This window comes from Homo sapiens, chromosome 15 (genome assembly GCF_000001405.40).
Source record: "Homo sapiens chromosome 15, GRCh38.p14 Primary Assembly".
NCBI classification, from domain to species: Eukaryota; Metazoa; Chordata; class Mammalia; order Primates; family Hominidae; genus Homo; species Homo sapiens.
In genome coordinates, this window is record NC_000015.10 from 97299556 (window position 1) to 97314534 (window position 14979).

Here is a 14979-nt window from a genome sequence, read left to right on the forward strand (position 1 = left end):
AAGTCTTGCAGTTGTCTTTGCTCTTTTTCATTCTTTTTTTCTTTTTTTTTCTCTTCAACTGGGTAATTTATTTTGTTGTTGGTATCTTAGTTTATTCAATTCAATAAACATTTCTTGAATATATAATGTACTTTGATAAGTCCTGCAGTTACCAAGATGAAGGATGGGATAATTTCAAAAGACCTATCTTCAAGTTCAGAGATTCTTTCTTCTGTTTAATCTAGTCTGCTGTTGAAGCTCATTATTGCATTTTTATTTCAATCATTAAATTTTGCATCTCCAAGTGTTTTGTTTCCTTCTAATAATATCTCTTTGTTAAATTTATCATTCAGATCATGAATTTTTTTCCTGATGTTCTTGAATTGTGCATTTGTATTTTCTTGTATCTCACTGAGTTATCTTAAGATCATTATTCTGAATTCCTTTTCAGGCAATTTGTAAACTTCCTTTTCTTTGTGGAGAATCATTGTGTTCCTTTGATAGTGTCATAATCTCTTGCTTTTTCATAGTTGTCCTGTCCCTGCAATGATTTATGTGCATCTCATGAAAAAAATTACTTCTTCCAAACTTTACCAAGTAGCTTTTGTACAGAAGGACTTTAACCTGCAGTTGGGTCTTCATGCGCCAATGGGGAAAAGTATGGTGGCTCTCGTTCCAAGTAGATACAGGAGAATAGCTTCTATGCAGCATCTTCAGCTGTGATCAATGTCAGTGATGACTGTGAATGCCTCTGTGGCCTAGGCTGTATGAGTTTGTGGCAGCAGCAGCATAGGTTTTTAGGGTCCTAGATGGCAAAGATGTTTGAGGTCTTCTTATTCTCAATTTCCCTCCCTATAAGGAGACTTAGCCAAAGGCATCCCTCCGGTGTTGGGTCTGACACTGCCATAAGCAGCTGTAGTAGCTCTGGGTTTTAGAGTACAGGTGCTAGAGTGGCGTGGAGCCAGGGACCAAGGCTCAGAATCTTGTGAACCAATTGTGGCACCTGAGTCTTGGAGTTCAGGTTAACTCTGTGAGTAACAAGTGGATGTAGATTGCCCACAGAACTTGGGTATCTGTGACTCTGAGGCACCCCTTAGCAGCTTGGGCCTAGAAACCCAGGTAGTAGCTGTGACTGTAATCATGAGAGGCAGGGGAACAAGTTATAGCATTGGCCAAGCTTTGGAGAAAAAGGAATGTTCTGGAGGTTTGGGCCCAGGGGGCAGAGTACAGTTGTAATTTGGCAACCAGAGCCAATAGGGCACAGTGGCAACTCAGTCTCTGGCAATGAGGCATCATGTCATGGTGACTCTGAACCCTGGGACGACAGAATACATCAATATCCCAGACTCTGTGAGGCCAGGTGGAGTGGCAACACTGAATGGGGGAATATAGCTGTCTCTTGTGACCTAGAGGGTAAGGAGCAGCACAGTGATTACTCCAGTCTCTATAAAGGAGGTATCACAGCAGTTCAGACACTAGGGAGTTAGTCCAGTTCTAGAAAAACAGAGCACTAAGGTTGTTTGGTCTGTATGGCAGAGTGTCTCAACTCAGCCGATGCTGTTTCCCTAGGTTACAGATTATTACATCTGACCGTCCCTAGGATGCAGAGCTGCTTGGCTTAGCCAAGGCATTAATTACCCAGGAGGTGATGTGCTGATTCAGCTCAAACCCAGGGGATGTGACTGCTCTGGGTGGCCAAGCCAGTTTTTCCCTAAGATGCAAGGCACTGCTTCCGCTAAAGCGCAGGGGAGCATGGCTGCTCTAGATGGCCAAGGCACCATTTCTCAGGAGGCAGGGTACAGATTCAACTCACACACTGGAGGAGCATGACTGCTCTGGGTGGCCAAGGTACTGTTTTTCCAGGAGGCAGGTTGCCACTTCAGCTCAGCCACAAGGGGCAGGGTGTGACCAGGTGTTTAATTCTGTTCTCTGTGGCCGTCCTGGGTTTCTGTGCTTTGCAGGATTTCTGCTACTCCTTTAATGTACTCAAGTGCTCTCCTTTGGTTACTTTAATCAAAATGTAGTTGTTTATTGTTTTGACTGTCTTTCTGAGGTAAGGAGACCAGAACTAAAAACCCTAGAAGAAAACCTAGGCAATACCATTGCCTAGGTAGATGGAGTGGCTCTGCCAGGGCACCATTTTCCCAGGAGGCATTGCATGCTTCAGCCCTGGTCCCGAGGGGCAGGTCACAGCTGTAACTGGGAGAGGTACATGTGGTGGCTCCATTGCAACTTGGCCCCATGGAAGAGGATGTAGCAGCAGTTTGGCTCATTGATGGTGGTCCACTAGGCAGGGGTGGTTGAGCACTGGAATGGAAGGGTACTGCAGCCACTCATCCCTGGAGCAGGACACTCTCTAGCAGTAGTTCCAGTTCCAAGAAGGCATAGCACAGTAGCTGTGTTGACCACAGTGGGTGAGGTACAGTGTCAGCTCCTGTTGTGGGGGAAGCACAGCTGTGTAGACTCAACTGGCTTACTGCCTGTGAGGACATTTTCTCACATGGGGAAGTCCCTCCTGGTTCCAGCTGCTCCTGGATGGGAAATGGGGTGGTGGAGGCCAGGTGTTTACTTCTGTTCTCTGTGGCCATCCTGGGTTTCTGTGCTTTACAGGGTTCCTGCTACTCCTTTGAGGTACTCAAGTGTTCTCCTTTGGTTACTTTAATCAAAATGTAGTTGTTTATTGTTTTGACTGTCTTTCTGGGGTGAGAAGACCAGAACTAAGCGCTTCTAGTTGGCTGTCTTGCTAACATTACTCTCGAATTGCAGTATTTTGAATTTGGGCCATTCTAATAGGTGAGTAGTGATGTCTCATTTTTATTTAAATTTTCAATTGCATAATGGCCTGTGGTATTGAACATCTTTTCATATCCTTACTTGCCATCTGTGTATCTTGGGTGAGATGTATGTTCATGTATTTATTTTATTTTATTTTTTACCACTTTTTTATTATTATACTTTAAGTTCTGGGATACATGTATTTCTCCTAATGCTATCCCTCCCTCAGCCTCCCCACCCCCGACAGGCCCCAGTGTGTGATGTTCCCCTCCCTGTGTCCATGTGTTCTCATTGTTCAGCTCCCACTTATGAGTGAGAACATGCAGTGTTTGGTTTTCTGTTCCTGTGTTAGTTTGCTGAGAATGATGGTTTCCAGCTTCATCCATGTCCCTGCAAAGGACATGAACTCATTTTTTTATGCCTGCATACTATTCCATGTTGTATATGTGCCACATTTTCTTTATCCAGTCTATCATTGATGGGCATTTGGGTTGGTTCCAAATCTTTGCTATTGTGAACAGTGCTGCAAAAAACATACGTGTGCATGTGTCTTTATAGTAGAATGATTTATAATCTTTTGGGTATATACCCAGTAATGGGATGACTGGGTCAAATGGTATTTCTGGTTCTAAATCCTTGAGGAATCGCCACACTGTCTTCCACAATGGTGAACTAATTTATACTCCCACCAACAGTATAAAAGCATTCCTATTTCTCCACATCCTCTCCAGTACCTATTATTTCCTGACTTCTTTTTAATGATTGCCATTCTAACTGGCATGAGATGGTATCTCATTGTGGTTTTGGTTTGCATTTCTCTAATGACCAGTGATGATGAGCTTTTTTTTTTGTCATATGTCTGTTGGCCGCATAAATGTCTTCTTTTGAGAAGTGTCTGTTCATATCCTTTGCCCACTTTTTGATGGGGTTGTTTGTTTTTTTTTCTTGTCAATTTGTTAAAGTTCCTTGTAGATTCTGGATAACAGAAATCCAGGATGGCCACAGAGAACAGAAGTAAACACCTGGCCTCCACCACCCCATTTCCCATCCAGGAGCAGCTAGAACCAGGAGGGACTTCCCCATGCAGGAAAATGTCCTCACAGGCAGTAAGCCCAGTTGAGTCCACACAGCTGTGCTTCCCCCAGAATAGGAGCTGACACTGTACCTCACCCACTGTGGTCAAACAGCTACTGTATTATGCCTTCTTGGAACTGGAACTACTGCTAGAGGGTGTCCTGCTCCAGGGATGAGTGGCTGCAGTACCCTTCCATTCCAGTGCTCAAGCACCCCTGCCTGGTGGACCACCATCAATGAGCCAAACTGCTGCTACATCCTCTTCCATGGGGCCAAGTTGCAATGGAGCCATCACCTTTTTTTTTTTTTTTAATTTAGATGTTCAATTGTCCCACCATTTGTTGAAATGACTATTGCATTGCTTTTGCTCCTTGGTCAATTATCATTTCCATGTCCATGGGATCAATGATCTGTTGAATATATTGATGTGGATGTACTTCTGGGCTTTCTGTTTTGTTCCATTGATCTATTTGTCTGTTGTTTCACCAACACTTCACCATCTCGATTAATAAAGATTTATAGTAAGCCTTGAATTCAGGTAGCATTTCAACAGGGAGTCTACCTCTCCCAGTTATAGCTGTGCCCTACCCCTCGGGACCTGGGCTGAAGCAAGCAATGCCTCCTGGGAAGATGGTACCAAAACAGATATATAGACCAATAGAACAGAACAGAGGCCTCAGAAATAACACCACACATCTACAACCATCTGATCTTTGACAAACCTGACAAAAACAAGCAATGGGGAAAGGATTTCCTATTTAATAAATGGTGTTAGGAAAACTGGCTAGCCATATGCAGAAAACTGAAACTGGGCCCCTTCTTACACCTTATACAAAAATTCACTCAAGTTGTATTAAAGACTAAAATGTAAGACCTAAAACTACAAAAACCCTAGAAGAAAATCTAGGCAATACCATTCAGGACATAGGCATGGGCAAAGACTTCATGACTAAAACACCAAAAGCAATGGTAACAATAGCCAAAATTGACAAAAGGGATCTAATTAAACTGAAGAGCTTCTGCACAGCAAAAGAAACTATCATCAGAGTGAACAGACAACCTACAGAATGGGAGAAAATTTTTTGTTCAGGTCTTTTCCCATTTTGAAATTGGGTTGTTTGCTTTCTTACTGTTGAATTTTAAGAGTTCTTTGTATATTTTGGACAACTGTCCTTTATTATATACATATTTTGTAAGTATTTTATCCCCGTCTTTGCCTTTTCTTCTCATTCTCTTCACTTATTTCACAGAGCAGAAGTTTTTAATTTTTATTAAGTTCAGCCTATCAGTTTTCTTTCTTGTGTCATGGCTTTAATGTTGTACCTAAAACGTCATTCCCCTACCCAACATCACCTTGATTTTCTCCTATACTTTCTTATAGGAATTCTACAGTTTTGCATTTTACTTTAGTTATGATCCATTATGAGCTAATTATTGTGAAGGGTGTGGAGGTGTGGGTTTGTCCCCACACCTTTTTTTTTTTTAATTTAGATGTTCATTTGTCCCACCATTTGTTGAAATGACTGTTGCATTGCTTTTATTCCTTGGTCAATTATCATTTCCATGTCCATGGAATCAATGATCATTTGAATATATTGATGTGGATGTACTTCTGGGCTTTCTGTTTTGTTCCATTGATCTATTTGTCTGTTGTTTCACCAATACTTCACTGTCTTAATTAATAAAGATTTATACTAAGTCTTGAAGTGAGGTAGTGTCAGTAATCCAACTTTATTCTCCTTCACTTTTGAGTTGGCTATACTGTTTTATTTATTTATTTATTTGTTGCCTTTCTCTATGAACTTTGAGATCACTTTGTGGATATTCAGAAAATTACTTGAAGAGATTTTGGTGGCAATTAGGTTGAATCTATAGACCTAGTTTGGAAAAAATGGTATCTTGACTATTTGCTCTATTGATAAATGTGGACTCTCTCTCCATTTATTTAGTCTTTGACAGCTTTCATCAGAGTTTTGTATTATTTCTCATATTGTATATATATCTTGTTAGATTTATACCTAAGTATTTAATTTTGAGGATGGTAATGTAAATAATATTGTGTTTTAATTTCAAGTTCCATTTGTTTATTGCTGATTTATAAAAAAGCAGTTGACTTTTGGAGTATGAACATTGTATTCTGCAACCTTGCTATAATTGCCTATTAGTTCCAGGTGTTTTTTAATAGATCCTTCTAGACTATCTACATAGAAAATAATGTTATCTGCAAACAGTTTATTTCTTTCTAATGCTTTTTCTTCATCTATTTATATAATCATGTGCTTCTTTTTTCTTTTTTAGCTTTTTGATATAATTAATTATAATAATCGATTCTCTAGTGATGAACCAGCCTTGCATACTTGGGAAAAATCGTATCTGGTTGTGGGTATAATTCCTTTTATACTTTGTTGGATTTAATTTGCTTACATTTTACTGAGGATTTTTGAATCTATGTTTATGAGAGATATTAGCCTGTTATTTTCTTTTCTTAAAATATCTTTGGCTGGTTTTGATATTATGTAATGTTTAATTCATAGAGTGATTTAGGAAGTATTCCATCTTCTTCTGTCTTCTTGAAGTAATTATAGAGAATTGGTACAATTTTCTTCTGAAGTATATAATGGAATTTACCAGTGAACTTATCTGAATACAATGCTTTCTGTTTGGGAAGTTTATTAATGTTTAATAAATTTCTTTAATAGATATTGGTTTATTCAGATTGTTTCTTTTTGTATGAATTGGTCTATTTCATCTAGTTTTTCAAATTTGTGAAATTCTAAATTTGTGCAATTAGATTTGTTTATAGTATTCCTTTATTATCCTTTCCATGTCCATTGGATCTGTAGTAATGACTTATCTTTTATTTCTGATATTAGTAATTTGTGTTTTCTCTCTCTTACCCTTCAACCCCACAGTTATCATGGCTAAAAGTTTATAACTTTTATTGATCTACTCAAATAAACAGCTTTTGGTTTTATTGATTTTCTGTTGTTTCATTAATTTCTGGTTTAATTTTTATTATTTCCTTTCTGCTGCTTACTTTGGACTTAATTACTCTTCTTTTTCTAATTTCCTAAGGTAGAAACTTGGAGTATTGATCTAAGATCTTTCTCATTTTCTGGTAAAAGTATTCAATGCTATAAATTTCTAAGCACTGCTTTCACTGTATCCCACAAATGTTGATTAGTTGCATTTTCATTTTCATTTAGTTCAAAATATTTAAAAAATTTTCCCAGCTTTACTGACATATGTCATCTTTTTTATGTTGCTATAACAGTACACCAGAGACTGGGTAATTTATAAATAAAATATATGTATTTGGCACACAATTCTGATGGTTCAGATTTCAAGATTGGGCATCTGTATTTGGTGAGGGCCTCTTGCTGCTTCAGCTTATAGCAGAAAGTGGAAAGGGAGTGGGCACGTGCAAAGAGATCACATGGCAGATGAGAGAGGAAGCCAAACTCACTTTTATAACGATGCACTTTCTAGTAACTTATTCAGTCCTATGAGAATGACAACTCACTCCTAGAAAAGGGCACTAATCTATGTATAAGGAATCTGCCTCTATGATCCAAACATCTACCACTGGGCCCCATCTCCCAACGTACCACACTGGGGATCAAATTCCAACATATGTTTTTGGTAGGGTCAAACTATACCCAAACCTTTAGCAACATATAATTGAACATTATTGTATAAGTTCAGAGTGTATAACATGACATTTTTGGATGTGTATACACAGAAAATGATTATCAAAATCAAGCTAATTGATATATCCATCACCTTAAATAGCTATCTTTTTCGTATTTGTGAGTCTGGTGAGAATACCTAAGATCTACCCTCTTAGTAAGATATAAGTATACAATATATTATTATTAACTATTGTCACCATGACAGATACTTGGTCTCTTTTATTCAACTTATATTAATAACCAAAGTTTGTCCTCTTCGACCAACATCTACCCATTTTCCAACCCCCAACCTCTGGTAACCACCCTTCTGCTCTCTGTTTCTATGAATTTAATTTTTATAGAAAGTTTTAAAAAATATTTTAATATCCCTTAAGATTTCTTCATTGACCCATGTGGTATTTAGAAGTGGGTTGTTTACTCTCAAAATATTTGAGGATTTTCTAGCTGTCTTTCTATTACTGATTTCTAGCTTAATTTCATTGTGGTCTGAAATAAGACAATGTGTGATTTTTATTCTTTTAAAATTGTTAAGGTGTGTTTTATTGCCCAGAATGTGGCCTGTGTTGATGAATGCTCGGTGCAAGCTTGAGAAGTACATGTGATCTGCTGCTATTGGATATAGCAGAGCATAAATGACAATTATATCTAGTTGACTGATGGTAGTGTTGATTCTAACTATGTCTTTACTATTAATAATATTCTGCTTTCTGGATCTGTCCATTTTGAATAGAGGAGGTTTAAAGTCTCCAACTATAATAGTGGGTTTAACTTTTTCTCCTTATAGTTCTATCAGTTTTTATTTTATATTTTTGATGCTCTGTTTTTAAGTGCCTAAACATTAAGGATGGTTATACCTTCTTACTATATTGACCTTTTTACCATTATGTAATACCCCCACTTATCCCGAATAAATTTCCTTGCTCTTAATTCATATGTTTGTTGGCTGCATAAATGTCTTCTTTTGCAAAGTGTCTGTTCATATCCTTCGCTCACTTTCTGGTATTTTTGAAATTAATAGAGGTATTCCTGTTTGCTTTCTGTTTTGTTTGCTTGTTTGTTTAGAGACAGAGCCTTGCTTTGTCACACAGTGTGGAGTACAGTGGTTCCATCATAGCTTACTGATGCCTCAAACTTTTGGTCTCAAGCAATACTCTCACCTCAGCCTCTGGAGAAGCTGTGACTACAGGTGTACACCACCATGCCTAGTTAATTCTGTTGTACTTGTTGAGATAAGGGTCTCCCTGTTTTGCCCAGGCTAGTCTTGAACACCTGGCCTCAAGCAATCCTCCTGCCTTGGCCTGACAACTTTTTCGGATTACAGGCATAAGCCACTGCACTTTGCCTTTTTTCTTTTAAATAGTTGAGCATGGTATATCTTTCTTCAACCTTTACTTTCAATGCATATGTGTATTATTTAACATAGGTTTCTTGTAGAAAACATATAGCTGAGACTTCTTTTTGATTCTCAGTCATTACTACTTCAAATATTGCTACTATTCTTTTCTCTATTTATTCTCCTGATAGTCTTATTACACATATGTTACACTTTTTGTAACTGTCTTACAGTTTCTAGTCTGTTTTTTCAAAAAAAATTTTTTCAGTTTTGAAAATTTCTATTACAATATCCCCAAGCTCATAAATTCTTTCAACTGTGTCCAGTCTACTAATGAGCCCATCAAAGAGATTCTTTATGTTTGTCACAGTGTGCTGTTGTTTAAATGTTTGTTTCCACCAAAGCTCATGGTGAAACTTAATCTCTATTGTAATAGAATTAAGGGGTGGGAAATACGACTATGGTATTCACTAAGTGGGACCTTTGGGAGGTAATTAGGATTAGAGGAGGTCATGAGGAGGGGTGGTATTAGTGGCTTTATAGGACTAGAAAGAGAAACCTGAGCCAGCACACTCAGCCTCCTCACCACATGTTGCCCTGTACCACCTCAGCCCTCTGCATTGTGTCCCCATCAGCAAGAAGGCCCTCGCCAAATGTGCCCCACTTGACCTTGGACTTCCCAGCCCCCAGAACTGTAAGAAATATATGACTTTTCTTTGTAAATTTGCCAGTCTCTCCAAGTATTCAGTTATAGCAACAAAAAACTAGTAGACACGACGTCTTTGATCTCTTGCATTTCTTTTGGATTTTTGATTATTTCTTAAAATTTTCGTGTCTCTGCTTACATTATGCATCTGTTCTTGCATGTTGTCTATTTTTTAAATAAAAAGCCTGAGCCCATTATTCATAGTTTTGTTTGTTTGTTTAAATTTCTGGTTGGTTAATGCTAACATTCCTTCCATATCTGATCCTGGTTCTGATGCTTGTTCAATCTCTTCAAACTATCTATTTTTCCTTTTAGTCTGCATTGCAATTTTTTGTTGAGAAGTGAACATGGTGTTTTAGGAAAAAAAGGAGCTGCAGTAAACATGTCTTTTTTAAAGTAGTAGTAAGATGTGTGGAAAAGAAAGTATATTATAGTCCTATGATTTGGTTTCAGCCTTTAGATGAGTTTATGTCCCTGGTTGTGAATTTCACTAGTAAATAGCAAGATTTGTCCCCTCTTAGGTGGGGCCAAATGGCTAGAGTGAGCTAAAATTGGGTATCTTTCTTCCTCCACGTGGAAAGATGTAGCAGGCTGGAACTGGATATTTTTCTTCTCCGAGGTAGGGTAGTCTCTGAGAAAGTCACAGCAGCTTAGAGTCTAATAATAGTTTATCTTGGAGGGCAGGCCTTGACTAGAAGAACAGGATGCTCTGGCATATTTCAAAGTGGTTCCTTTCCCCTCCTCCTGCTGGAAGCATAAGGGGATTTTTCTCTGATATTTACTGTGTGGGGTTCCTCCTATGACTGAGTCCATCCCCTGATTTTTAACCCTCAGAGTTATTCACACTGAGTTTCCAAAAATCCACCAATCACAGTTTAGGTTTTCCTACCCAGGCACATGTTCCCATGGAGGTTTCTGTTCATGGATTTCTCCTCTAATAAATTACAATTCTCTTTACTTGCCTGTCTGCCTTTCTAATTTGTACAGGCAGCAATATTCCCTGTGATCTTACTCTCTGATGTATTTAAGAAGAGTTGAACATTTTTAAAGTTTGTTTATTTTTAACTTATTGTTAGCATAGTGTGGCAAATTTCAAGCATCTAATATGCAGGTCCAGAAAGTCCAGCCATAAAACTTTAAGTTAAAGGTCTCTTTGCTTTCGGTAACATTTGAAAGCAGTTATGCTCAATAATCTTTATACATAAGTTACTTTTAAATTAAATTAACTTCATATATATTTCACTTTTGACATTAATTAGTGAATAATATCTTCATAATCACCACAATCAGACTAATACACAGTTACCAATTGCAAATATTAAGACACAGTTTACAAAATGCTAATTGAAGCCCTAGAGTTCTGGGATTAAAACCAAAAAGATGCTATTAAAAAGGGACAAGAGGAGTATGTATCTGGAAAGAAATGCAGTTTGCAGAGATGAGCAAAATTGAATTCCTATTATCCAAGTTAATGATGGCATGCATGGATCTTCTAGAATGATAAAGGGTTATAAAAAAATTGATGGACAATAATTAGCATAATCCTATGTTTCAGTGTGTCAGGAACAGTCCCAGTCTGCACCTGTTTCTTAAGCATATTTATTAATAGCATCCCTGATTTGATTTATACTTTAAATTTTAGGATTACCTTAGTAACAGTTGACACCTATAAAATAATAACCTAGTGTCATGAAACCCATTTTTATGAAAGACTACAGAAGAAAGTAAGTGTTGATATATTAGAGAAACTATTAATTCTGTAGGTTAATGGAGCATGTTTTGGGGTGATTTCAGTATCTTCCATCCGTTTCAGTAACATCAGCTGCTGCTGATGAACAAAGATACATCATCTATTATTTTTGAGCTATCGATCCAGTTTTCTAGTTGCTTCCTGGACATTTTCACTTTGATGTTTTACAGCATCACTGATACTAAGTCCCAAAGGAGTATTTTTTTCCCATATTTGCCTTCATTATTACTGTTAATGTCATTATCATTCATTACCCACTTAAACTATTGTGTGGCACGTGAACTTCTCCCTGTCTCTCTCCCTTAGAACAAAAGGATCACTATGCCTTTACTCTAAAATGTCTCAGAACTGCTTTTGTTTAGACCCTCGTTTTTTTGTCCCAAAACGTAGATTTTTTTCTACATCTTCCTAACTCTACCACCAATTCCATATATTACATAACTTTCTAAAATAGATCATATCATACTCCTACTGGAAATCTTGAATATTTTCCCATTGCTTTTAGCATCTTAAGCCATACTCCTGGGAACAGCATAGCAGGTCCTTCATAATATGGCCCAAACCCATTTTCATCTTGTACCTCTTCCCACTGCCCACAGCTCTCACAAAACAGAGCTGCAATTATTCTCAAGAAAAGATTCACATTTTCATGTCTATGCTTCTATCCACATGGAAATTGATCCTGGATATGACACCCGTTTCTCCAACTAACAATGTTATTTCATCCACCAAATATATTCTTGTTTAGGAAGAATTTCCCTAACACTGCCAGCTGACTTTGTCTCTTCCTTGTGCATGGTCTCCTAGTACAGTATTCATAATTTTGCCATCGTTGTTAGCTCACTGTATTGTATTTATTTACTTACTCATTCTGCTTCCTCAGAGACAAAGGCAGCCTCACAAGTGATGTGAGCTTCATTTTTGTCTTCAGCAATTGACATAGTGTCTAACCATAAGCAGGTTGTCAATGAAGTTCTTTATTATTAAAATAAATTAATCTTCATTGTTTTATTGTTTACATAATAACATAAAATTGAAAGGCTAGGACAGTTGCTGGAAGGTTAACTGGAGGTTCATAATGACCTTTCAAAGGTTCACACTGCTTACCTTGTACAAGGAAAGAACCAGAAGAAAGTTCTACATTGTTGATAAGAAGCAAGAAATCAGGATTCTTTCTAATCTCCTACTGTGGATAAGAATTACAAAAGGTTCGTGTAGCATGATATCCAGGACATAAAGGATACTCACTACATGGCAGCCAAGAGAAACTTTTAAAAACTAGAGCCTAGGTTAAATCATTGATTATTGGCAGATATGATTTCAAATTATATTTTTAGGCAACAGATGCAACTTATTAATAATTTAATGCTGTAGCAAAGAACTACTGAAAATGAATCAAACAGAAACTCACCCCCTTAGGGTATAATCTAGGGTTGGTATATATTTAGCTCAGTCTGCTTTCTCTAACCACAGAATCTTTAATATTTCTATAATGCTCTATGCTAACCAAAGTGTACGCATGTTTCTTTGCAAAGGTGAACCTCTTGACAGCTTTGGAAAGTGGCTAGGACAAGTGTAACTTTCTTGGTTAGAAGGGAACTGAGTCACAACACAGGAAAAGCTCAAGATCACAGAGCAAGCGAATGACAAAATTGGGAAAAGTGCTTATCTTGTTTTTATTCCAATTTCCTTTCTTCATTTAATGTTATTTCATTCAAAATAACAAAAAAAAGAGCTTTTACAAAATGATGAGCCATTTAAAAAACTTCGCTTTTGCTTGCAGTGTCTAAGAGAGGAAACAGGATTAATACATATAAGTCATGTTTAAACTACAGATGTTTTTAAAAAGGGCATTTTGGATGACTCTCAGTTAAACTAAAAATTCAGTTAAAGTAATCTATTCTGGCTGGTTATGTTTTTACAGTAATAACAACTACAATAAGACCTGACCTTGAATTTCCACAGTGTCTTTCTTTTCCAGAGTTCGAAATGCCATCACAAAAGTGATCTGACATGCTAGTGAGGGGACTGAGAGCATTTGTTGTAGAGAATATCTATTCAGAGTAGGCTGGGCCTGCTATTGACTCTTAAAATTAAGATAATCAATGAATCTGCATTGTGGCTCATTCACTGTCATGCTCAGCAGCAACCTTCATCTGGAGGCATTTAATTCATTTAGTGTTCTAAATATATCATATGCTGTACAAGCCATTTTATAAAAGGAATTCTATGAACTCTACATTAAGCCTTATATTCCTACCAATGCAATATAAATATTAAGGATTTTCTTCCTACTTGTCATGCTAAAGCTAGTGCTAAATGCTTTAGCTAGCAAGTAATATTGAGACACCAAAACACTTAATTTACTACAGGTAACCTTATTTCCTGAGATACTAAACACAGATAAACTTTTCTTTTAACCCCTCAGCTAATTCTTTCTGCCACCCATTCTAACCAGGGAGCATATTAATTACTCTCATTCATCATAAGTTTGGCCTTATGAATAAATAATACATCTACTTTTCTCTAAAAAATGTAATAACTTTTAAGTCTTTCCAAGAAGAGGGTTCCCATCCTTCCTTTAGTTGGAGACACAACCCCATTGACTTAGACGGAAGATCCTAGTGTAACAGGCACATTGTGTTCATTGACTTGCTTGGCCAACTGAACAATCCTTCGCATTCATCAAGCAAACTTGGCCTCTACGTGAATATGGGCACCAGCAAACCTGGCCTCTGTGGAGGATTATAAGGGAATTTCAGATGATTGGTACTCTGCTTCAGTTTAATCGCATCGCTGTAGTTTGGAGGTCAGGTCCTGAGTCAATTAAATTACTTTTGCAAAGTCACAGAAACTGTAGATTTTTTTCCCAAGATTTAAAATAGTGCTGACTACAGAGTAACTAAATAGGAAATAAGTTGTAATAACAATAACAAACTGAGAATTGGAGTGAGGAATGAGTGAAAAATGCAACTAAATAATCAGGCATTCAAGCAGCAGTTTTAAAAATAAAATCGTATGGCCATTTTATATGCCCATTTCATTCTTCTTTGCAGCTATCATTACATATATTTCTGTTATATAAAATATTGGTCACATGGAAAACACGTATATACATTTAAACATATAATATGTTTGAAATAAAATTTAATGAAGTCCCAGAAAATGTTTTATCAGATTCTGAGGCTTTTGGAAGTGTATTCCCAGTGGGAAAGGAAGATGTTAGAAGGCTTTTTGTTTAAACTGTTAAAATTCCAGGATTCTTTCATGAAATGACAGCTAGAACTTTGAACAGAGCTCAGATTTCTTGGCAGAATCTTCAAACTGGAATATGCCTGGGAAGTTCCCTTGATAGCAAAAGTTGTAACCGATCTTGTGACTGAATTTCTGAGAGTTTAAAATATATTTGCTGAGTGTTATTGTCTGTACCGACAATATTATTGAGATATGGCAAGTTTATAACTAGATTAAATTCTAGAATAGAAAGACCTGCAAGTGGCAAAAATCACTGTCCATGATCAGTTTCAAAAAAAGTTTGTTTAAAATTACCTCCTGCTTTAATCATTTAAAAGAAATGAGAGGATAGCAAAGGAAAGGAAAGAGGAAAAAGTACCCATAAGCCAGAAATGTATCCATAAGTTTGATTAGCTATTTCACAGCCATATTATTG

General features: G+C 37.1%; 2 long non-coding RNA genes across 5 annotated transcripts in view; one reads left to right on the plus strand and one right to left on the minus strand.

Annotated features, from left to right (window-relative positions):
* The window catches only part of LINC02253 (long intergenic non-protein coding RNA 2253), a 197799-nt gene that overhangs the window by 65264 nt on the left and 117556 nt on the right, over positions 1-14979 (plus strand). The gene's annotated exons all lie outside the window — the stretch shown is intronic.
* LOC105371006 (uncharacterized) overlaps positions 1-14979 on the minus strand; it is a 47150-nt gene that overhangs the window by 27384 nt on the left and 4787 nt on the right. Inside the window, exon 3 of the long non-coding RNA NR_188334.1 lies at positions 12417-12495. This is a non-coding gene — a long non-coding RNA (uncharacterized LOC105371006). The remainder of the gene's footprint in view (positions 1-12416; positions 12496-14979) is intronic.